The sequence below is a fragment of the Homo sapiens genome, chromosome 14 (genome assembly GCF_000001405.40).
Source record: "Homo sapiens chromosome 14, GRCh38.p14 Primary Assembly".
Lineage (NCBI taxonomy): Eukaryota > Metazoa > Chordata > Mammalia > Primates > Hominidae > Homo > Homo sapiens.
The window spans coordinates 47,236,603-47,262,247 of record NC_000014.9 but is presented as its reverse complement, the minus strand read 5'-3'; the positions used below and the strand labels follow the sequence as shown (position 1 = coordinate 47,262,247).

Genomic DNA, 25,645 nt, shown 5'->3' with positions numbered 1-25,645 from the left:
GATGAATGAATACACATATATTAGTGAACAATATGTATTGATAGGGCTATATAGGTGAATCCATTTGTTCAGCCTTAGCCTGTTCTTTCTGATTTGAAAAAGTCTTTTGCATTTCTGAGTGTCAGCTCTCTGATCTGCTTGTCGTAGCCTGGTTTTGTAGTTGAAATGTCTGTGGGTAATCACAGCTCCCTGTTTACAGCCACTACTGTGTGTCTGGATTCTGGAAGTGACTACCTGGCATTACCTTTATAATCTTAAGATCACTCTAGCAACATTTAGTGTCATCACAGACTTAATGAGTGTTGCTTTCTTTATAACTAATTCAAAGACCAATGAGTCCCCCACTCTCCTTGTTTACTGTGCAAAAAATTATCTGCAAGACTATACAGTATAGTGCACTCTTTCCTAGGTTGCTGGTTTAGTTTACACTCATTTATCTCCATCACACAGGTGGGCTCATAAGACAAGGAGGCCCTCATTTAAGGAAAGAGGTTAGCTTCTTTCATCTGGGCATGGTGAGCACCCAGACACTTAAACATATGCAACAGAACAAGAGTAATTCAGAAAATAGCATAAAGTGTAAAGAGGAAAAACCTTTCTTGAAGTGAGATTTCTTCCTAAAGGTATTTTTGCTGCTGTACTTGGCATCTTGTTAATAAAAATATTACTTAGGCTATTTCAGTTCTAGTCTTCATACTTGTGTAATGTAGCACTGTGACTTAGGCCATCTGCTTTAACATCTTATGATATGCCATTCTTTGCTGCTTTTAGCAGATGAATCTTTCAAACAGCAGCTTATAAAACTTGATCCTTACTTACTTATTGCATTACCTTTTTCCTTGTTAAAATCTTCTGGATATCCAAGATCTAATTTCACATTTCACTCTTGACCATGTGCTTGAGATGGAAAGGGGATAATTAGTAAATGGAGATCATGCAGTTGTAAAAGATTCTAGCTAAATGCCAATTTCTGTTCCAATTTGGCTTTTTGTTTTGTTTTGTTTTAAATCTGAAGGCTTGAATTTTAAAAAGCCTGAAGAACATGATATTGAGGAGGCATCAAAAATGTGCTGCTAGTTATAAATAAAACTGTTTATATTTTTTGATGGATTTGTCCTTCCTAACGATGTTTTTCCAAACCCTCTGAACCCTCTTAAGCCTACACAGCTTTCATTGTCATTGCTATGTGATATGACATTGAGGTAATTTGCTTTTGCTCAACTTTTATGCCATTCTTGTCCATATTATTAACTCAGTGGGCTAGAATGCTAACCACTTTAAATAACCCATTTGTTGTCATAGTAACTGATATTAAAGCCAAATATAATCTGTCTCTTGGATTCCATATTTAAATCTTTGCTGGTAGTTGCATTCTTTAGTAATGCTATGGACTGACCATAGTACAACGTACTATGTACAAAGGGGATACATATTACAAAGGTATCCTGAAAATGTAGGTTTGATTGAGGAGTCAATTCAGTGACATCCAGTATCAGCTCCCAGCTTACAATGTGTTCAGACCCAGTCCAGTCCTGTCAAATGTATGTTCAGAGAACTCTAAGAAGGATGCTGATCTAAATATTACAGGGACTATATAGACAAAAATTGTATTTTTTCACTGTGGTTGTTGTCTATGCTGTTCAGTTTTTCTCCTTTACTTATCTTTGTAATTTTTTCTATGATGTTTCTAAACCTTTAAAAATTACACTGTGGGTACTGAGAAGAGAACAGGTACATTATAGAAAGCCTTTCAAGAGAGACACCTTCTGGACACACCTTATTATCAGCTCTGTATCTTAGGTGACTTCTGTGTCCTTTAGAGGCTCAGTAAAGATTCCACCTCCTGCTTAAAGCTTGACTGTCGTCTTTCACTTCTCTTATGTCACCTTTTTTCCCCAAAATATATGCACTGCATTGAGCACACAAAATTTGATTATAGTGCTAGGGTATCTCAGAGAGAAAGCTGTCTGTATACGAAAAACAAAACAAGTTAAATTTCCCTCATTCACATATTAATTCATCTGCATCAATTTAAAGATTCATTGCTCTCATCTGGACTTTGTACCCATTTTCTCCAGGCAGGTCAGTTTTTCACATATTCTTATATTTTGGGCCATGCTATCCTTTTTCTCCTCCTCTAAATTACCATTTTTCCATCTAGCACCATTTGAGACTGAATGAATTTTCTTAACTCCCTTGATCTCTGGAGATGCAGAGTTATTTTTTGTCTAGGCTCCCCATCCGCCCCCAGCTTCAAAATGAAAGAATATTCTCAGCAGCAGCTTATCTGTTGAATATGTATGAAATATCCTAGATGTTAGATCGTCTTGTCAAAGTCTCTTATATAATAGCTTGGTGGCAACATTGAGTCTTCTCCCTTCCCCCATATTTCTTCAACTAGCCCTCTTTCTGTTCTAAATGTGCAACATCCTGCTCAGCCCCTGGGTCCCTCTCTACTCTCTCAGATTCCATAGTTAGCAAAATTCACTTTCCTATGACTTCAGCAACCAGTGTCATTGAGCCCTTATTTTCTAAAGCCACTTTTCTTCGGAGTTCCTATTTTATATATCGCCATTCTTTTCAGTAGCCACATCTAGTATAGTGCTACATGTGTACCAATGGAATACTAGTACTGTGGGTTGTCAAATAATGTCACAAGAGAAAAGTGTCCTGTGTTCAAATTTGATTTAGAAAGCCTGTGTTAAACAAGCCAAACAGGTTTCTTTACCAAAGAACACCCATATGTTCATTATATGCCAACAGTGAACATTGTGAGTTTTTTAAGGAGAAAAGCAAAAGTAGCATTTCTCAAACATATCTTTTTGGTACACATTTTAGGACACTTATTTATAGGATTGGTTATTTTTATTTGCTTGTTTTAAAGTACAAGCTTCAAACAAGGGTATGCAAGTAGAAGGATATTTTTAAGGAATCAACCTAAATATCTACAAAACCTGTATGTGTATAGTTTCCTAAAATCTGCTTCAGAAAGATTTGATGAGATTTAAGTTCTCCTCCCCCACCCATTATAATCACTCTTATCTCTTTATAAAAGAGAAAAAAATCCACATACTGAGCAACCTTAATCATATTATTGGTACATTACTCCTTGGAAAACAACAACAAAAACGCTCCAGGGCACTAAACAAACAAATGGAAATTGGTCTTGGTGTAGAAAACAGTGAATAGCTTTTAGGTTTGAGTATCAGATTCTTCTGAAACTAAGGTGGTTTTCAATTCTTTTTGTTTTCAACATAATTGAAGATATACCTAATAGAGTTTCAGCTGACAGGTTATGGGAAACCATTTTTGATGATTTAGTATGGCACTGTATATTCTTTTTGTAGCTTGGAAGAATTTCCAGGAATTAAAATTTCCATATTCTTATTATGTGAGCAAATTTCTCAGTTCTTAATTAGAAAAATGAAAAAAAAATAAGCAGCATACTGAACCCTCTGTTCCATTCCAGCAACAAGTGATGATCTTCCAAGTACATGAATTATTAGAAAAAAAAATAGCCTCATCCATCTGATTAACAGATGCATTTCCAATAAATACTTTTCACATTATATAATACATTTATATTGTTTAAATCAAGTCTGTACTAATATAATTTTAGTGATAAGATTCTCAGTCTCAAAAAACCTACATTTTCCCACTTCCCATGTGATTATGGTTTGGATTTGTGCCCCATCCAAATCTCCTGTCGAATATAATCCCCAGTGTTGGAAGAGGGGCTTGGTGGGAAGTGATTTGATCATGGGGCGAGTTTCTTCCTTGCTGTTCTTGTGATAGTGAGTGAGTTCTCAGATCTGGTTGTTTAAAAGTGTGTAGCATCTCCCCCTTCACTCTCTTCCTCTTGCTCTGGCTATGTAAAATATGCCTCCTTCCTCTCCGCCTTCCACCATGATTGTAAGTTTCCTGAGCCTCTGCAGCCATGCTTCCTGTACAGCCTGCAGAACTGTTAGCCAATTAAACCTCTTTTCTTTATAAATTACCCAATCTCAGGTAGTTCTTTGTAGCAATATGAGGACAGTCTAATATACCATGTAATATGAAATCATAATTAGTAAATGATTTTCCAGCAAATGAACATACTACATGAAGATAAAATTCTGTGGGGAAAAGTGTCATGGAAAATGATTCAAGGAGAAAAAGAAATATCATAGCATTTCTATTAAAGAAGGCAGTGCTTTCATATTTTTCAGTGAAAGATATTGAGTATCAGATTGTATATTCCATGGACCTATTTAAAGAGGTGATGTAACCATTTTACTTTCAAATCTCAATAGCTAAAATGCATCTTTGCAACTAGTTAAAACTTAGGAAAATAATATTAGATGTCAATAAAAAAATACATGAGAAGTATCTGTTTTTTCAAAAGTCACCTAGGAGGAATATGAACAAGAAGTATGTGGAGACCAGTGCTACAAAACACTCTGGAAAGAACTGACCTAAGTCTTCAGGTTCTCTTTCTGAGGCCCAGACTCCTCTGTTCTTCCTGTCTTTTCAGGCCAAGTGACGCTTTCTGGGTAGAGTTCTTGGACTATAAAAAGTGATTCACTAATCAAATTATGTAGTCAGTTTAAAAAATTATTAATAGTTTTTGTGTTCAATAATTACAAAAATTGCGTTAAAGTAATTCTATAGGCCAGGCACAGTTCTAGGCAAACCACTTATGAACAAAATGATGCCAATTCCTGTCCTCATGAACATTCTAATGAGGGGATGCAGACAATAAACATATATAATAAAATATAAGAGTAGTAGGTGGAGAGAGCTGGAAGAAGTTGTCAAGGGGTAAATAAGATCCAATTAAATGTTTAGGAAAATCTTTGTAAGAAGCTGATATTTGAGCAAAAATCTAAAGGAGGCAAAGGAGTGACACATGTAAATATCCGAGGCAAAACAAGAGAAAACAGCAAGGGAAAGGTCTCTGAGGTGAGATCACACAAATATTACCGAGGAAAATGTCATTGTGAGAGGACTGGTGTGGGCTATGAGAGTGTAGGAGATAAGATCTGACAAGCAAGGGGAGCAGAAACACAGAGCCATGGTGTCTATTGAAATGACATTGTCTTTTATTCTAAGCCAGGAAGCTATTTAGAGTGCTTTGAACAGAGGAGTACAAATACTGCAAGCCACAACAAAGTAGTGTTGTTACTCACAACTAAGCTAACTTTCAAACTTGGGCTCTCTTAACCTAACTGTTCCTGTATATATCCTTTTCTTTCCCCATTCCTATCCCCTTCCTTTTTCATCTTGTCCCCCCTCTTTTCTCTTTTTTTCTTTCCCTTTCTTCCATTCCTCACTTCCTTCATTCCTCTTTCTTTTTCTTTCTTTCTTTCCTTCTTTTTTCTTTCTTTTCTTTCTTCCTTTCTCTCTCCCTCTCTGTCTTCCTGTCTTCCTTCCTTCCTTCTTTCCTTTCTTCCTTCCTTCTCTCTTTCTCTCTTTCTTTCTGGCTCTAATTTTAATTAAATTACCATTTTATGATTTGTTACATTTAATAAAAAGTGTTATTCGATTTCCTTCCAAATTACAAACCAACTCAATCAAACTATAATAAAGAAGGAAAAAGTTATATTTAAAGTCACAACTATGTAAAATCACCTCTTCTCCTAATGGAGTATCAGAATTTCCTTCCAGAGAAATGACATTTTGTTTAGCATATCTTCTTTAAGTGTGCAAGATGCATACTTCCGTGCATGCTGTGTTTGGAAAGAAAGAAGCAAATAGATAAACTGGATAAATGTACTGCTACTACAAGTAAGGAGGACCAGAGAAATGTAGGCAGAGAAATGGGGTGAGACAGGAGAAAGAAAGGGTCATAGGAGCAAAGGGTACTGTTGGTGAGTGTCACTCGTGGATAAATTCCTGACTGGAGTGGAAGGAAAGTGACGGAAAGACATTTAGGGGCAGGCATATTGAATATTTTATTTTTTGATTGGTAATATTGATACTCCTATGATGTAATCATAGCCCCTTTCTCAAACCATCCCAAAATTCAGTAGTCTCCCACACATACTCCATGTTAATCATGCCCTGGCCACGTCAGTTTTAAAGGAAGGTATTATAGGTTGCTGTGGGGCTTGAATAAAATAGCCATCAGAGTGAGATATAAGATCAGGGCTTCAGAAAAAAAAAAAAAAAGAAATTTGATTTAAAACCAAAAAAGGCCCATTAAAATAACCCAAACTTTGAGGAATTTGTAGGAATCTGGAGGTGGGCATCAAACTTCCCACTAAATGTAGAGAGTGGGGTAGGGGAAGGGAAGATGCAGGAAATGGGTCAATTTAATTTTATGTAAAAGTCTCAAAAGATGGGATAACATCAGTTAACACCTGGACTATACAAATATGCCAATACTGGTTTCCAGTAATACTTATTCTATGATCTCATTTACCAGACAAGCAGGACTAACATGCCTACACTGCTCAGATATAAGAATAATATCCTGGAAGCTTATTTTATGTTAGAACTGCATTGGGTAGGACCAAGGAATGTGAAAATATGAGGTACTATGACAAGCAGTTGACAGAATAAAAGCTAATGCACCTATTAAACCAAATTATCATTTTTAAGTAACAAGGCAAAGATGAAAAATTTAATTTCAGTGAAACTTCATCCTATGGAAATTGGGGAAGCTGAAAAGAAAATGAGGATTAAAAAGAGGAGGGAGAAGTTAGGGCCTAGGAAAACTTCCTGTGAAGAAAGTAGTTGCATATAAATTTTGAAAAGCTTCTGAAGATGCAGGCATAGGGCCAAGGGACAAATCTAAGTGTTAACAACCTGAATCTGAACACCTACAATGAACACACAAATCTGATCATGTTATATCTTACATAAAAGCACCTGTTGGATCCCACTACCTGTAAGGCACACAGTCAGTCCCCTGCCACCACTCTTTCATCTCCCGTGACTCCCTGGAGGGTTGTTTGTCTAGTCAAACCCATTCCAAGCTCTTCCTCTGAGATACTGTTTTCCTTCATACTACCACGCTTTGCCTAAAATTTGGTATATCCTTTTTCCCTTTGTCAATTTACAATCTCTTTAATGTCTTAGATACTTCAACCTTTCAGAATTCTGTTTTCTGTTTTCTTGCAAAATTAAAATGGGTAATATGTCACATGTTAATGTGATTTGGTTGTGTCCCCACCCAAATGTCATCTTGAACTGTAGTTCCCATAATCCCCACATGTGGTGGGAGGGAACCCGATGGGAGGTAATTGAATCATGGGGGAGGTTTCGCTCATGCCATTTTCCTGATAGTCAGTAAATCCTTATAAGATCTTATGGCTTTACAAGGGACTTCCCCCTTTGTTCAGCTCTCATTCTTCTCTCTCCTGCTGCTATGTGAAGAAGAATATGTTTGCTTCCTCTTCCATCATGATTGTAAGTTTCCTGAGGCCTCCCACCCAAGCCTCTTTCCTTTATAAATTACCCAGTCTTGGGCAGTTCTTTATAGCAGTGTGAGAATGGACTAATACAGTAAATTGGTACTGGTAATGGGGCTCTGCTATAAGAATACCCGAAAATTGGAACTGGATAACAGGCAGAGACTGTAGCAGTTTGGAGGGCTCAGAATAAGTAGGAAAATGTGGGAAAGATTGGAACTTCCTAGAAACTTGGAGGGCTCAGAAGAGAGGAAGATGTAGGGAAGTTTGGGACATCCTAGAGACTTCTTGAATGGCTTTGACCAAAATGCTGATAGTGATAAGGACAATGACGTCCAGTCCGAGGTGATCTCAGATGAAGATGAGGAACTTGTTGGGAACTGGAGGAGAGGCAACTCTTGCTATGCTTTAGCAAAGAAACTGGTGGCATTTTGCTCCTGCCCTAGAGATCTGTGAAACTTTGAGTGTGAGTGAGATGATTTAGGGTATCTGGTGGAAGAAATTTCTAAGCAGCAAAGCATTCAAGAGGAAACACAGCATAAAATTTTGGAAAATTTGCACCCTGACAATGTGATAGAAAATAAAAACCAATTTTCTGAGGAGAAATTCAAGCCAGCTGCAGAAATTTGCATAAGTAACAAGGAACCAAATGTTGATCACCAAGACAGTGGGGGAAATGTCTCCAGGGCATGTCAGAGACCTTCATGGCAGCCTCTCCCATCACAGGCCTGGAGGGCTAGGAGGGAAAAATGGTTGTGTGGGGCAGGCCCAGGGCCCCCCTGCTCTATGCAGCCTCAGGACATGGTGCCCTGCATCCCAGCTGCTTCAGCTCCAGCCATGGCTAAAAGAGGCGAATGTACAACTCGGGCCATTGCTTCAGAAGGTGCAAGCCCCAAGCCTTGGCAGCTTACATGTGCTGTTTAACCTGTGAGTATACAGAGGAAAATAACTGAAGTTTGGCAACCTCTGCCTAGATTTCAGAGGATGTATGGAAATGCCTGAATGTCTAGGCAGAAGCTGGCTGCAGGGGCAGAGCCCTCATGGAGAACCTCTGCTAGGCCAGTGTGGAAGGGAAATGTGGAGTTGGAGCCCCCACACAGAGTCTCCATGGGGGCACTGCCTAGTGGAGCTGTGAGAAGAGGGCCACCATCCTCCAGATCCCTGAATGGTAGATTCACCAACAGCTTGCACCGTGCTTCTGGAAAAGCCACAGCCACTCAACACCAGCCCATGAAAGCAGCCTGGAGGGATCTGTTCCCTGCAAAGCCACAAGGGCTGAACTGCCCAAGGCCGTGGGAACCCACCTCTTGCATCAGCATGCCCTGGATGTGAGACATGGAGACAAAGGAGATTGTTTTGGAACTTTAAGTTTTAATGATTGCCCTACTGAATTTTGAACTTGCATGGTGTGTGTAGCCCGTTTGTCTTGGCCAATTTCTTTCATTTGGAACTGGTGTATTTACCCAATGTCTGTACCCTCTTTGTATCTAGGAAGTAATTAACTTGCATTTGATTTTACAGGCTAATAGGAGGAAGGGACTTGCCTTGTCTCAGATAAGACTTTGGACTTGGACTTTTGGGTTAATGCTGGAATGAGCTAAAACTTTGTGGGACTGTTGGGAAGTCATGATTGTGTTTTGAAATGTGAGGACATGAGATTTGAGAGAGGCCAGGGGTGGAATGATATGGTTTGGCTGTGTCCTCACTCAAATCTCATCTTGAATTGTAGTTTCCATAATCCTCACATGTCATGGGAGGGACTCAGTGGGAAGTAATTGAATTATGGAGGTGGTTTCCTACATGCTGTTCTCATGATAGTAAGTTCTTTTGAGATCTGATGCTTTATAAGGGACTTCCCCTTTTGCTCGGCTCTCATTCTTCTCTCTCGTACCACCATGTGAGAAGGATATGTTTGCTTCGCCTTCTGCCATGATTGTTAAATTTCCTGAGGCCTCCCCAGCCACGCTTAACTGTGAGTCAATTAAACCACTTTCCTCTCTAAATTACCCAGTCTCAGGTAATTCTTTATAGTAGTGTGATAATGGACTAATACACGTGTACATGTTATTTTCTTCCTTTATTGAGAAATCACTCTCACCTTTTCCTTCTCCTCACTCCTTTGCCAGTTCTTGCTGTATTCTAACATACAGATCTGTTTAGCATTTTCATATCTGTCAAGCTTTGAATTCAGGTTGTTACTCCCAAACTGTGCTCCTGTAAGCACTTGTGTTTCATCACCAAAATGGTATAATGTCAGTGTGTCTCAATTTGCAGTAAAAACATAGTAAATTAACAGATTCAATTTTTTAAAATTCTGCATGTTTCTTGCATAGTTTTAAACCTTTATTGCTATCAGGAGCTTACTAGATTATGAAAAATGGAATAGCCAGTTCACATGAACAGAAATATGCAAAGTTGTGATTAAATTATTCTTTTGTTCTTTTTGAGAAGGGACTTGTGTGTGTATTATGATTATATTTTATGTGAAAAGATGCTGTCACAATTAAATATATCACAACCCTATTCTGTTCTGAAAGTGGTTTGCCTGAATAAAATTAGTAATTTATTTCTTATTTATTATAAGATTATCTTATTGTTAACAATGTTTGTGTACTTCATGAGAATCTAGTATTTATGAATTCTAGATTTTCTATGTTGTATCCTACCTTTAATCAAAGTATGTTCCCTATCCACTTTCCCTTTAGCTGTAAAATGGCCTGATAAAGTAAAAAGTGACCACTATTTTACCATCTTACAAATCTGGATTGAAAGTGAAGTTGTCCAGATCATGGCAGTAGAGGAAGAAGGAAGAATAGCTGGGGTGAGGGAAAGGTCACTCTGGGAAACTATAGCCTCTTCCCTTATTTCCAGTAGCACCTTTCCTGCAAACCACCACCAATAATAATAATAATAATAATAATACAAGAGAAACCAACCTTGTTCTGAGTCAAATACTATTAACTTCCCTATTTTTTAGTTGGAACAAACCCAATAACAGGTTAAAGTTCTTGTCAAGGACACCCAACTAATAAGCAGAGACAGCATTTTCTTTATGTTGATTGTGTTTTTTAATCTGAAGATTTTAAAGAAACGTTCTTTTGTCTTGAGTGAGATTGTTTTACTTCCAAACAATTTGGTATCTATCCAAGTGTGAGTGTGAATGATTTATGGGAAATTTGAACATCTTGGTGTGCTTTTTGTGAAACAGCAAACAAGTGATATTTATTTGTGGTAGCTGTACTTTTAATGACAGTAACAACAATCTAAGAATTGTACGATGGTTTATTCATCTCCCATATATCAATGTTCAGGATGTAGTACGTATACTTCGGGGGTAATGAGTTATATAGTAGACAACGTCAAGTGTTTTTTTAAAAAAATTATGTACTAAATATAATAAAGTGCTTACACTGTAATAGGACTGTTCTAACTTTTGAAGGTACAACAGGGCATGAGATGGATCAAGTCTAACCTCTTATGAGGCTTACATTTTAGTGGAGAACACAAGGAATACAGACAGAGTTATCTTGCTGAGATCTGAATGATGAGAAAGACCTGATCCATGTGAAGATTTTGGTGAGATGTATGAGGCAGGAGATAAAAGGGAAATTTTCCAGGTAGATGGAAGAGTAGGTGAAAAGGCCCTGAAGCAAGGACTGCAATGAAGAATTCTAGGACAGAAAACCAAACATATATGAAAGTCAAAGTTTCTGTAGGCATTTTAAAGCTCCATAATAGACAAGAGTAGTGGGAAGCTATTAGAGACTTTTAAGCAAGGATATAATTAGTGTACTTTGACTTATATTTAAACATTATTTTTTATCTGGTAAGAAAAATAGACCACAGGGGAAGAAAGAATGAAAGCAGATCAACCCAGTAAGAAGTGACTGATATATTTCAGGTGAGATAATAATAGTGGCCTGGATGGTAGTGGTATCCATGGAGATGCAGCTCCTCCCAGATTCAGATGATGAAGACATAAACCCCATCTTTCAATGGACAAAGGGCCAAGGAATTTGTGCCTATGCCTTAAAATTGCCACAATATCTTAAATTCTTCTTCTCTTCTTCTTTTTTAACAAAAGACACATATCTGTGTGGAAAACTTTCTTTGTCTCTTCAGGCTGCTACAACAAAAAACTTAGAACTGGGTGGTTTATAAACAACAGAAATTCATTTCTCACAGTGCCGGAGGCTGGGAAGTCCAAGATCAAAGTGCTGGAAGATCTGGTGTCTGGTGAGGGCCCACTGTCCTCTCACATGGTGGAAGAAGAGAACTCTAGTCGATTCAGTCCCTTCTATGAACTCTATTCCCATTCATGAGGGCTCCATCCTCATGACCTAATTAACCTCTCAAAGGCCTCACCTTCTAATACGATCACATTGGGAATTACGTTTATACATATGACCTTTGTGGGTACATACACATTCAGTCCATAGTAAAGAGTGTATTAACTCATTAAATTATAAATAAGTAAGTAAACAAACAAATAAATAATAAAACTTTAAAAATACAGCATAATCCAGAATTCACCAACGGCAGTCTTGCTCCCTGAAGCCAGCTTGGATTGTATCATGTGGTCTGTTCCAAGTTTTGAGTATTCTGCTCCCTGAAAGTTCCAGAGAACTGTTCTGCCTTTAGCAGTAAAGTATTCTGATAGATGGCTCCATGCTGGTGTTTTTGTCTTTTGCTATAGTCCAAGGGTAGGAATACATTGACTCAGTGTCTAATCTAATGTCAAGCTACACTACAGATACAATGAATTAAGACCTTTCCCACACTCCAGAATTTCCTTCATAATCTTGTGTCTCTACCCATGTCATTCTGATGCTTTTTAAACAATTTCTTCAGGACTTCTGGATACAATCATAATAGTCTGTGGGTGTTCTCTTTTAGCTTTTCAATAGTGTGAGGGTCTGTTTCCTTGCCATGTTAGTGACAGGTTACAGATGTATTGTCTCCTATTACCTTCTCTAGTTATCAACACTTTATTGACAGGATCTGCAACACAAAAGAAATACAAAGAAGAATCTTGTGAACTTTTTTTCAGTAAATAAGTGAAATAAGTGTCTTACTCCGTAGGACTTCAGCTTATTCCTGTACTGTTTACAGAAAAATCTAAAACTGTTTCTCTAAAAAAAAATGTAGCCTAAAGTTACTCTCTGTCTTGTCTTAACAATAAACTCTGAAGAAGGTAAAGAGGCCATAAGAATTGTGGTCAAACATGAGTCTGGGCATGGTGGTTCATGCCTGTAATCCCAGCACTCTGCGAGGTTGAAGTGGGTGGATTGCTGAAGCCCAAGAGTTCAAGACCAGCCTAGGCAACATGGCAAAACCACATCTCTTTAAAATATACATATATAATTTAGCTGGGTGTGGTGGCACATGCCTGTAGTCTCAGCTATTCAGGAGGCCGAGGTGGGAGGATTGCTTGAGTGCCAGTGGTGGAGGCTGCAGTGAGTTGTGATTGTGCCACTGCATTTCAGCCCGGGTGACAGAGCAAGATTTTGTGAAAGAGGGAAAGAAAGAAAGAAAGAGGCCGGGCGTGGTGACTCATGCCTGTAATCTCAGCAGTTTGGGAGGCTGAGGCGGGCAGATCACGAGGTCAAGAGATCGAGACCATCTTGGCTAACATGGTGAAATCCCGTCTCTACTAAAAAATACAAAAATTAGCTGGGCATGGTGGTGCGTGCCTGTAGTCCCATCTACTCGGGGGGCTGAGGCAGGAGAATCACTTGAACTTCAGAGGCGGAGGTTGCAGTGAGCCGAGATCGCACCACTGCCCTCCAGCCTGGTGACAGAGCGAGACTCCATGAAAAACAAAAAACAACAACAACAACAACAAAAAAGAAAGAATGAAAGAAAGAAAGAAAGAGAGAGAAGGAAGGAAGAAAGGGAGGGAGGGAGGGAGGAAGGGAGGGAAGGAAGGAAGGAAGGGAAACATAAATTTACTTTTGGTTTTTAGGCAATGGTAATATCACCAAATATACTAATTTTTTTCTGAGTTCTTATAGCAGCATTAATTGAATTTTTTTTCAAATCAATCTTGCTATTAGAGAAATACAACAAAAATTTTAAAATTACTTTGATAAACCTAATACTCCGTTGCTTTTAAGCAAACTGTTTTTGTTTTCTAGCCACTAATAAGATTTACAATTATCTGATGCTCAGAAATTATATTAAAAAATAAAGCAAACCAAGCTGAACAAAAATAAACAAAACCCAGACAATATAGTTTGCATGATGCCAGCCATCTGCCAATTTTGACTTATTTTATTACTATAAAACCGTATAAGTTCAATTAGATATTAAAGATTTGTCACATAACTTTTAAAAAATATAATTTTATATTTAGCTTTGCCCTGTCTAAATTATTACCTTGTGGCTACTATCTAGCAATGATTTTCTGCAAATTCACAGAAAAAATTGTCTTCTTTCATTAATCTATTTTCCTAAACTTTCTAACATGATATTCTCTCTTCTGTGAGGCTTATATAAGATGTGGAAAGAGGCATGCTTTTTATGTTATAATTTTCTATTCCTATTATTCCGTCTGATGTTTCTCATTTTTTTGTAAAATAAATTCATCCTTTTTACTCTCCTACTCCTTGTATAATATATGTTATATTTATTTTTTTTATTTATTTTTTCACTTATTTAACAATACCATTTGACCCAGCAATCCCTTTACTGGGTATATACCCAAAGGATTATAAATCATTCTACTATAAAGACACATGCACACATATGTTTATTGCAGCACTATTCACAATAGCAGAGACTTGGAACCAATCCAAATGCCCATCAATGATAGACTGGATAAAGAAAATGTGGCACATATATACCATGGAATACTATGCATCCATAAAAAAAAGGATGTATTCATGTACTTTGCAGGGACATGAATGAAGCTGGAAACCATCATTCTCAGCAAACTAACCCAGGAATAGAAAACCAAACACTACATGTTCTCACTCATGAGTGAGAGTTGGACAATGAGAACACATAGACACAGGGAGGGGAACATCACACGTCGGGGCCTATCAGGGAGTGGGGGGTGCTAGGAGAGGGTTAGTATTAGGAGAAATACCTAATGTAGATGACGAGTTGATGGGTACAGCAAACCACCATGGCACGTGTATACCTATGTAACAAACCTGCACATTCTGCACATGTATCCCAGAACTTAAAGTATAATAATAATAATAATAATAATAATAAATATGTACTGATGTTAAACATCTGAAACTAGTCTGGACACGGTGGCTCACGCCTGTAATCCCAGCACTTTGGGAGGCCCAGGTGGGCAGATCATTTGAGGTCAGGAGTTCGAGACCAGCCTGACCAACATGGTGAAACTCCAACTCTACTAAAATTACAAAATTAGCGGGCATGGTGGCAGGTGCCTGTACTTCCAGCTACCAAGGAGGCGGAGGCAGGAGAATTGCTTGAACCTGCGAGGCAGAGGTTACAGTGAGCTGAGATCACACCACTGCACTCCAGCCTGGGTGACACAGTGAGACCCTGTCTCAAAAAAAAAAAAAAAATATGAAACTATATCAGCACTATGGGATATACACACCTATTTATTTTATTTCTGTCTCCACACCCGGAGGAGTTCCACAGTTGACTCCTTCGTTTAAATACTACCCTTATCCCAAAGATGCAGGTTCAGCAGACGCAGCACCTCTTGTCCTGCAAGGTTTAAATTTTCCTTGTGGCCAAAATGGTCCTGAGACCAAAAGACACTGGTTAAGATACAGCCTGAAGTATAGCCTTAACATTACATGGTAGAAAGTAATTTTTATTCACAGAAAAACACACCAACACAGAAAAATATGTACAATGCCCATTTGATAACTGAGGATCGCACAATATAGCAGTAACTTCTTGCTTTGGCCATAGGCATCGGATAGATTATGGGGAATCTTCCTATTCTCCAAACCAAGGACTGCAGCCTCACCCTCTGCTACCTATTATGCTCCTAGGGATCATCTGGCTTTTTGTTGATACGTCTGAGTGTGTGTGTGTGTGTGTGTGTGTGTGTGTGTTTCATTACCTGCTTCAGAATTAATGGGTTTTTGTTCTTTCCTGTTAACCTTTCTTCTTATTTCCTTTGGAAACCTTAATACAGCTTTAAATACTTCTTTTATTTAAAAAATAAAGGGAGGAGTCATTTGGTTTTTGCAGTTTGTTGACCTTATTACTAGTCTTCATTCCTGGGGAAAGTGCTGTTCTTTCCAAGGCAGTTAGTAAGTAACTGGCTCTTTCCACACTTATCTGGATGAACCTGAGGAGTCATCTAGCTCAACCTCCTATACCTGTCAGTAGTCTCTTCTAACAATTCACTGTAGGTATGCATACAGTACCTATTCTAATACACGAGCATTTTGAGTTGCCTGAAAGGAGTTTGGGAAATTGCAGCCTTCTGGAGGGTATTGAAGTAGGTGCCTTTATATCTCTCCCAGCAGCCTTCAAATGCCTCTTATTTTTTACCAATATTGGTGATGTTAGAAATGGGTGTGAAATGACTAGATCAGGATCGGGGGAAGGACTGATAAATTTTTGGCTAGCTATTACTGGGAACAAACTGAAAAGCTGGACTTACCAGTTACTGGAGATAAAGCTGTGTTTTGCACATAATTGGTGCTCAAAGCATTATTTGTAAAATACATGGATAGTAAGTAAATATAAAATCAAATTGTTGATTAGCATAAACATCAGGTTAATGTTTGGAGTGGGCTGCCGAGGGAAGAGCATAGGGCAGCATAGTGTAGGAAGTGAGCTTGGAGAAAACTGGCCTCTGAGCCAAAGAATCTATCTGTGAAGCTCAGCTCCACTAATCATTAGCTCTATGTGACTTTGAGCAAGAAAGTTGCTTTTCTTACCTCAATTTCTTCGTCTGCAAAAAGAGGTGATAATGACCATCACTTTGTAGAGTTGTTGTGAGTATTAAATGAGTTAATGTTCCTAAAAATGCTTGAATGGAGCACTCTATAAGTGATTACCATTATTTTCTTAAGCAAATGGTTGCAATTACAAATAGGATGTTCCTATTTGAGTGAATTTCCAACTAGGTAATGAACGACTTTAACATTTTGTATGTTTTTCTTTAAATATTAGAAATAAGAATAAATTTAAAATCTTGTATGTTTACAAAAAATACTACCACTATGTACCTACAGTTTTACAACTTACTTTTTTCACTTAAAGTATGTCTTGAACAATTTTCTGTGGTCAGGACAGAAAAATTTTTCTCTTATTTCATAGTTGTTTAGACTTAGGAAGGCACTTTGAAGTCCTTTATTCTACCCTTCTAACTCCATATCATGAATTAATTGTGCAGTTGGCCCTTGAAGAACCCAGTGGGTAGGGGCACTGAACCCTACACAGTCGAAAACCCATGTATAATTTTTGACTTCACCAAAGCTTAACTACTAATAGCTTACTGTTGACCAGAAGTCTTACCAGTAACATAAATTGTCAGTTAACACATATTTTGTATGTTGTATGTATTATATCCAATAAAGTAAGATAAAGAAAAGAAACTGTTATGAAGAAAATCATAAGGCCAAGAGGGGAGGATCTCTTGACCTCAGGAGTTCGAGACCAGCCTGGGCTCGTCACAGGGACACCTCATCTCTACAGAAGAAAATTTAAAAATTAGTGAGGCATGATGGCATGTGCCTGTAGTCCCAGCTACTCAGGAGACTTGAGTTGGGAGGATTGCCTAAGCCTGGGAGGTCAAGGCTGCAGTGAGCCATGTTTTGCCACTGCACTCCAGCCTGGGTGACAGAGTGAGACTTTGTCTCAAAAACAAACAAATAAAAAAAGAAATGAAAAGAGAGTCATGTGGAAGAGAAAATATCCTTACTATTTATTAAGTGGAAGTGTACCATCACAATGGTCTTTATCTTTGTTTTCTCATTGAGTAGGCTGAGGAGGAAGAGAGGAGCACTTGGTCTTGCTGTCTTAGGGATGGAAGAGGTAGAAGAAAATTCACATACAAATGATCTTGTTCTAAGAGAACATGGGAACAAAATACTGTTTCGGTATATGTATATAAAAATATACAGACACAGAACCCACATTTTCAAAGCCTTTTCACAGGATAGCATCTTCTACACCTTTAATCAAGATGTCATGTCATTGAAAAATACCAGCTGGTCTGTGTACTATAACCTAGACAACAATATGTTTGCCATAAAGGCTGACTCTATTTTATGAAACCTTTAGAAATCAGTATTGACATAGATCCAAGAGTCAAATGAAAAGGATATAAGCAAAATTAATTTTGAAGAATTAAGACAATTATATTTATAAGTATATAATTGAGATTCTTTCAATGGAAAATTGTAGAGTATTCTAGTATACGTGGCCAAAAAAATATGTTAGATACCAAAGGCCAGAGATAGGCCTTCCAATAGCTAAGAAGTTCTAGTAGAAAAGACAGATATATAAATAAAAATGGCAAGAGTGTAATATTGGATACATAGGGACTTATTCACTTAATTCCAGAGGGTACATAACTTATACAGAAAATACATTGCTTTAGGGCAAATAGAATTTTATTTAAATACTTTAAAATTAATTGACTTCTATTATCTTCTCTATAATAATACATTGGGTATTATTCATTTGTTAAGCCAATACATTACAGTTCTGCAGGTAGTTTTTAAGAGACTACTACATGTCAGGCACTGTGCTAACTGTTGGAGATAAAATAATTAACAAAACAGGTAAGTTTGTCCCCTTAAAAGCAGAATCTCTCACAAGAGAGAGCTAAATAAAGAAGCAATTATCAAGCCTGCTAAATGCCAAAAAAGGGAAAATCATCAGGGGTAGGAATAGATTATTTATAGATCATAAATTTTAGAATTATTAAGCTAGAAATAATTGCAGTGGTCATCTAATTTTTTACAAAGCCATAAACTAAGACCCAGAGAGAATAATGGTGTAGCTATAGGCAGAAATGAAACAATCACACGTATGTCCTATCACCATTGGTTGCCAGTCGCCACTTAAAATTGTTGGAGCGTTTGGTTTTGTGTCCGGAATTGGTGGGTTCTTGGTCTCACTGACTTCAAGAATGAAGCCTCGGACCCTCGCGGTGAGCGTTACAGCTCTTAAGGTGGCGCGTCTGGAGTCTCTCCCTTCTGATGTTCAGATCTGTTCGGAGTTTCTTCCTTCTGGTGGGTTCGTGGTCTCGCTGGCTCAGGAGTGAAGCTGCAGACCTTCGTGGTGAGTGTTACAGCTCTTAAGGTAGCGCGTCTGGAGTTGCTCGTTCCTCCTGGTGGGCTCGTGGTCTCGCTGGGCTCAGGAGTGAAGCTGCAGATCTTCGCTGTGAGTGTTACAGCTCATAAAAGCAGCGTGGACCCAAAGAGTGAGCAGTAGCAAGATTTATTGCAAAGAGTGAAAGAACAAAGCTTCCACAGTGTGGAAGGGGACCCCAGCAGGTTGCCAATGCTGGCTTGGGCAGCCTGCTTTTATTCTCTTATCTGGCCCCACCCACATCCTGCTGATTGGTAGAGCCAAGTGTGCTGTTTTGTCAGGGTGCTGATTGGTGTGTTTACAATCCCTGAGCTAGATACAAAGGTTCTCCACATCCCCACCAGATTAGTTAGATAGAGTTTAGACACACAGGTTCTCCAAGGCCCCACCAGAGCAGCTAGATACAGAGTGTCGATTGGTGCATTTACAAACCCTGAGCTAAACACAGGGTGCTGATTGGTGTGTTTACAAACCTTGAGCTAGATACAGAGTGCTGATTGGTGTATTTATAATCCTTGAGCTAGATGTAAAGGTTCTGCACGTCCTCACCAGAGCAGCTAGATACAGAGTGTCGACTGGTGCACTCACAAACCTTGAGCTAAACACAGGGTGCTGATTGGTGCATTTACAATCCCTGAACTAAATATAAAGACTCTCCACGTCCCCACCAGACTCAGGAGCCCAGCTGGCTTCACCTAGTGGATCCCACACCGGGGCTGCAGGTGGAACTGCCTGCCAGTCCTGTGCCCTGCGCTAGCATTCCTCAGCCCTTGGGTGGTCGATGGGACTCGGTGCCCTGGAGCAGGGGGTGGTGCTCGTCGGGGAGGCTCGGGCCGCACAGGGGCCCATGGAGTGGGTGGGAGGCTCAGGCATGGCGGGCTGCAGGTCCCGAGCACTGCCCTGCGGGAAGGCAGCCAAGGCCCAGCGAGAAATCGAGCGCAGCGCTGGTGGGCCAGCACTGCTGGGGGACTCAGTACACCCTCCGCAGCCACTGGCCCGGGTGCTAAGTCCCCCATTGCCCGGGGCCAGCAGGACTGGCTGGCTGCTCCAAGTGCGGGGCCCACCAAGCCCACGCCCACCCGGAACTCCAGCTGCCCCGCAAGCGCCACACGCAGCCCCGGTTCCCGCTCGTGCCTCTCCCTCCACACCTCCCTGAAAGCTGAGGGAGTGGGCTCCGGCCTTGGCCAGCCCAGAAAGGGGCTCCCACAGTACAGTGGGGGGCTGAAGGGCTCCTCAAATGCCACAAAGTGGGAGCCCAGGCAGGGGAGGTGCTGAGAGCAAGCGAGGGCTCTGAGGACTGCCAGCACGCTGTCACCTCTCAGTTTCATGAGTTTAATATCCTCTATGCAAGGCAATATTTTATCAAACCATTGAATAACTACGTAATTATTGAAAAGCAGAACTGCAAGCGTGTGTGTGTGGGGAAGGTGTTATAATCTGTATGAACAATTATTCTAAATGAAATAGTAGCAATCTTCATAGGTTATTAGGATAAGACACTTAGTAGGTTTTATTAAGTGCCAGGGAAGCAGAAAAGATACTAAGGAAAATAAAAACAACACCTATTGTCATTTTCTATGCACCATCTCATTTTTTCTTCACAATGGCCTTCTATGTTGGATATAATTGTCTCTATTTTACTGATGTGGAAATGAAGTTCTAGAAAAAAGAGTACCTTCTTCAGGATCACAAAATGATTTCATAGTAAAGAAGGGATTTCAATTTAGCTATTTTGTTTTGTTCCCCTATGCAAAAATATTCTTGGTAGGTAAACATCACTTTGCCAATTGAATGTTAAACATTTTTTTTTACCTCAGTGGAAAAATCATAAAATATGTGCTAGGGTTTTATGATACAATGAAACATTATGGAATGCAGGACAGTCAGAGGAAAAGAGTTGGGAGATGAAAGTGTTTGGGACAACATTTCTACTCTTTTCACATAATTATTCATATAAATAATTTGGGCCACAAATAATTCACTGGCGACTTAAACTTTTGGTTCAAGGAGTGACCTTTAATTAAAGAAAACACCTTTGCTAAAGCAAACAACTAAAACCTTTCTAAAATTAACAAATTTTTACAATGGAAAGAAACACACACAAAAAACAAACACAATAATTTTTAAATTTCTTCTATCCTGTGAAGGAATTGACATTTTAATGGAAAAGATAGGATTTTTCTAAGTCCCAGGGAGTTGGCCCTATGAAAATAGCCTGAGGCAATATGAGGATGTTTGGATGTTTATCTAAAAGTGCATGGAGCCTGAAGGAGAGCAATGGTTTCACCATTTTGCCTGCATGTGCCTCCAACCATAAAGCACAGACTTAGCTTTCGTTAGGATTACTTAAGGTATTTCCCTTCCCCCAGGCCATCTTAAGCTTCCTGAGAGTTGAATTAGTTACACTTGTTTTAAGGAAGTATTAAAGTAACCTTTTAAATGATCAACTTTGCAACATCAAGTGACTCTGAAAGCCCATCTCCTGGATTGGTCATCCACTCCTAAAGGTTAAGTTTTCAAGCAGAACATGAAAACCCTCAATGATTTCAACAAACATATCTGGAGCAAGTTTCCTTCAAATAACCCATTTTCTAAAATCACACATGTGCCTCTTTATACTCTTGGATGGTATGCATAACATTTCCAAATTTAGCTGATTCAGCCAAATGTTATGAAGAAACCATCTGATTAAAGTAATTGGTAATAAAATATGAATAATTAAGTGACACCCTCCTTAGAGGTATTTGCTTTCAAGAGAGTTGGCTAAGTGCTCACTAATTGGGAGATCAGGAGAGGGCAACAGCAATTTAGCACACTGCTTCTGCTTTACATTTTCCTTTCTGGGTAATGTATTTTTTGCTAAAACCCCTCAGTTGTGTGTGCAATATTCTAAGACATGCACTACTTACATAGTAATAATCATTAATTATTTTCTATCCATGATTTCTGAGACTTCTTTTCAAATACTTCTTTTTCTCTCCACTCCCATACCACGTTCCTTTTCATTTCCAATTTGTACCTTTTCCTAAATGGAGTATCCACAAAGAAAGGCACATTTGGTGTTATTTTTCCAGACACTGACAAAATACAGTGCTTCTTGAACTTTTTAATAAACTAGTTACTCTTTATTATTATGATTGCTGTTTTATTGAATGTTCATAACTTAACACACTCCTATAACCCGGTTCAAGAAACTGAACATGACAAGCACAATATTCTTCTTCTTAAAAAATGTTTCTAGCTGGGCGTGGTGGCTCACACCTGTGATCCCAGCACTTTGGGAGGCCAAGGTGGGTGGATCAGGAGGTCAGGAGTTCAAGACCAGCCTGACCAACATGGTGAAACCCCCATCTCTACTAAAAATACAAAAATTAGCTGGGATTGGTGGTGCACGCCTGTAATCCCAGCTACTGAGGAGGCTGAGGCAGGAGAATCGCTTGAACCAGGGAGGCAGAAGTTGCAGGGAGCCGAGATCGTGCCACTGCACTCCAGCCTGGGCAACAGAGCAAGACTGTCTCAAAAAAAAACAGCAAAAACTGTTTCTAACCAAAAATAATGTCTATCCTTCCATTATTTTTGGTGAAATCACTTTGTGTTGTATCAGCTCTTTGAGTGACAAGGTTATAACACTGAATGTGCACAATATGTTTCAAGGACTGAAATATATAGAGAAAAAGATTGCTACTAAACTCTGGGAAAAAAATGTATGCCTAAAAAAAGATATAAAATTTTGATATAAAGCCCGTTGTTTCAAAAAGCAAGGATGCAATAACATTTGTGTATGTGGAGGAAAATAACTTTTATTCAATCAAATATTTATTAAAATAGTGTCTTTTCAGGCAGATAATTTAATTTAGAATGATCTCATTTGTTAAGCATTGAAAACTTTTTTTTCCCCAAAGGAAAATTCATTATCTTATTGAAATGTAATAGTAAAATAGCCAAAGGTAATAATAAAATAACTGACTTACAGCTCCTTTTGGTATGTGTTCCCTTGAAATATTAAGAAGTAACAAAAATTCTCTTCAATTAAAATTGTATGCCTGGTATCTGTTTTCTATGAAAGAAGCTTTTTATGTTTCACATCAAATTGATCAAAGCATATTACTTGCCTTTTGCAATGCAAACACATCTTTTTGAGAAGGCTGATTTTCTCATCCCTTAGAAAGTTTATAAATTATTTTACACAATGTACAGTAATTTATATTAGACATGTTAAAGTAGAAGCCTATAGTGAAATATTTATGATTAAAATAATGATATGTTTCAACTCAGTGATACTAGTCCAGGAAACTAAAGCAATGTGACAGAATTTGTCCGTAATTTAATTTAGCACTTATCAGAGCCCTTTTTTTTTTTTAATAAATTTTGACTTTCGTAAAGGTTACGGTCGTCAGGGTCACATAATATGTTTTGTTTCCCCCAAGCTAGCATGAGGTTCATATTAGGCCCTCAATACAACTTTATGATGGCGATAGTAGCACTCAAATTTGTGGAAGATAATTTACGTTTGATAGTTATCTGAGAACAACTAAACCCAGCTACATAAACACCAGTAATGGAGTTTTTGGTAAAGAATAAAGAGATTCTTGCAGAGCCGATCACAATTTACTTACAACAAAAAATTGAGATATTTCTTCCCATTTTAAACTTTCTACCTCTTAGCTCATCCTTACTTTCTATTAATTTAAAAAATATTATTATAAATCATTTTGTATTATTTGGGGTCCTCTGCATTAGTCATAGTTTTACTAAAAACAGTGTATTTTGGGTTGTTTTATTTTGTTTTTACATCATTATATGTGGAGAAATTAATGAATATATCTCCTTTTTGTTCCTGAACTTTTACTTTCTATTCTTCCTAACACTGCTAAGCTTTAAAGTCTTTTCATAAATCTTATTCTCTGAGTAAATGCCCGTCTGGGAACATGGCATTTCCACATTTTTTTTGAGCGGTCCATAGGGTAATTTATAACACAAACATTTTAATTAATAATGTTGATGTTTTTATTATTCCTAAATAGGTAATCTGGGTTTTGTTTTGTTTTGTTTTGTAAGCACGTAAGACCTTGAATTTCTTAGAGTACAGATTTCCCTTAGAATTACATGGGGGCATTACCGAGATAATTTCTGCTTGTCAATGCTTACCCAGAATATTCTAAAGAAAGACAGCAGCATGTCATAGAAGGGAGGTGAGTATTAACCACCTACTAAGTGTGAGGCACTGTGCTGGGATAAAGCAATCAACAAGATCTACACAATCTCAGCCCACATGAAAGTTATATTTTTTAGGGAAAAACAGGTAATACACAAATTCATATATGTTCTGATTTCTGATATTGGTAAGTGTGCTGAAGAAAATTGGAGTAGATGTGGTGATTGGGAATAATAGAAACTGCTATTTTTAATAGAGTGTTCAGGGAAGCCTACTCCAATGAAATGACATTTAGGCAGAGGCTTGCATGAAGTTAAAAGAAGAGAGACAGCAAAGAGTACAGGCTCTGAAGCAGGAGGACTCTTGGTGTCTTTCAGGAAGGTAGGTTTGCCTTGAGTTCAGTGACTGGGGGTGAGTGACAAGATATGAGGAAGGATATAGGGCCTGGTGAACAGGAGTGAGTTCCATTTTCTGGGCAATGGGAAGCCAAAAGAGGATTTAAGCAGTTAGAATGTGACTTGTGTTTTAACAGGATCACTCTGGCTGCAATTTGGGACATAGATTAGAGGGGTCAAGAATGGAAGGTGGACCTTGTGTCTAGGGAGAGATGATGGTGACTTGGGCAAGCAGATGAATATTTAGAGTAGTAGAAGAAAGTAGATCAAATGTATTTTGAGTGGAGAATTTTGTTGAGGGACTGCATATGGAGGTGATTCAAGAATTTCGATATGAGGAACTGGGTGAATGGTGCATGCCATATACATGGATATGGAGTTTTAATTTGCTACTTTTTGACAGTACACTTCGACATCCACTACGAACAGATATATTCGTATAACAATTATTTTATTTCTAATATTTTTGTGCAGCTAAGTGACAATCTGTGACCATTCCAGAAAGAATATCTTGATTGTTGTTTCCATTTTGCCCCATTTCAGTGACTGAGAAGAAATATGCCATCATTTTTACCTGTAAAACTATGTTTAAAAGTCCTACTCATTATTTAGAATCATTTCTACTGCATTGTCTCAGGTGAATTCAGAGGTATAAAGGTAAGTTTGCATTAAGGGCAAGGCCTGGGAGACCCGGGCGTAAAATGCGGCTCATAAGTGTTGCAAATCATTTGATTATGTTAGAAGTTAGAGTTCTCCAATTTGCTTAATGTGATTTTAATTTTTTTTTTAAGTCAGGGAACTAAGGTGTTTTAGATTTTAGGACCTTACCTTCTTGGTTCCTGCCCAATAAATGATTTTTTTCCTTAGCAAGGCTTTCTTTTTTAATGCACTAGATTCTCTGGCATTATTAATCTGAATTAATAATGTCTGTCAAATTAGATTTAGGTTGTGGGATAGGGAAGACTTGCTCTACTTTTGGGGAGGCAATAGCTATTTTTATAGGAACCTGAATATTATAAGTACTCCACATTCAGGGTATTTGCACTAGTAAGTTATATTAATAGGTAACTTGATAACATTTCTAAGAACTGGGTCAGAGGGAGATATTAAATTGGTGCCTTACAAGGTTTCTAACAGCTTGGCTTATTTTGCAAGCAAAGTTAGAGTGCATTTTCATGGAGACTTTTCTTTATAGTTTATGGCCCAGTTCAGGAAAAAGCTTCTTGAAAATAAACTTTTCCAAAATCTAAAAGCTGATATTTTATGTTAACTTATTTTGGACATTTTCAAACTAGTTGATTATTGGGTATTTTAATACTTTGCTAATGTATAAAGACACAGCATCCTTTTATCTGCTCTCAGAAGGCACTGAAATGGTTCTTTATTTATTTAGCAATCACTTATGGGATGCTATCATTGCTTCATCTATC

At 38.3% G+C, this 25,645-nt stretch overlaps 1 protein-coding gene across 10 annotated transcripts in view; it reads left to right on the top strand.

Moving 5' to 3' along the window:
• The window catches only part of MDGA2 (MAM domain containing glycosylphosphatidylinositol anchor 2), an 835,983-nt gene that overhangs the window by 413,358 nt on the left and 396,980 nt on the right, over positions 1–25,645 (top strand). Inside the window, exon 1 of one of the 10 annotated variants that reach the window (XM_047431050.1) lies at positions 24,676–24,872. The exons of the other annotated variants lie outside the window; for them this stretch is intronic. The gene's annotated coding sequence lies outside the window, so the exon portion shown is untranslated. Of the gene's footprint in view, positions 1–24,675; positions 24,873–25,645 lie in introns of those variants that run through there. 10 annotated transcript variants of the gene reach the window in all.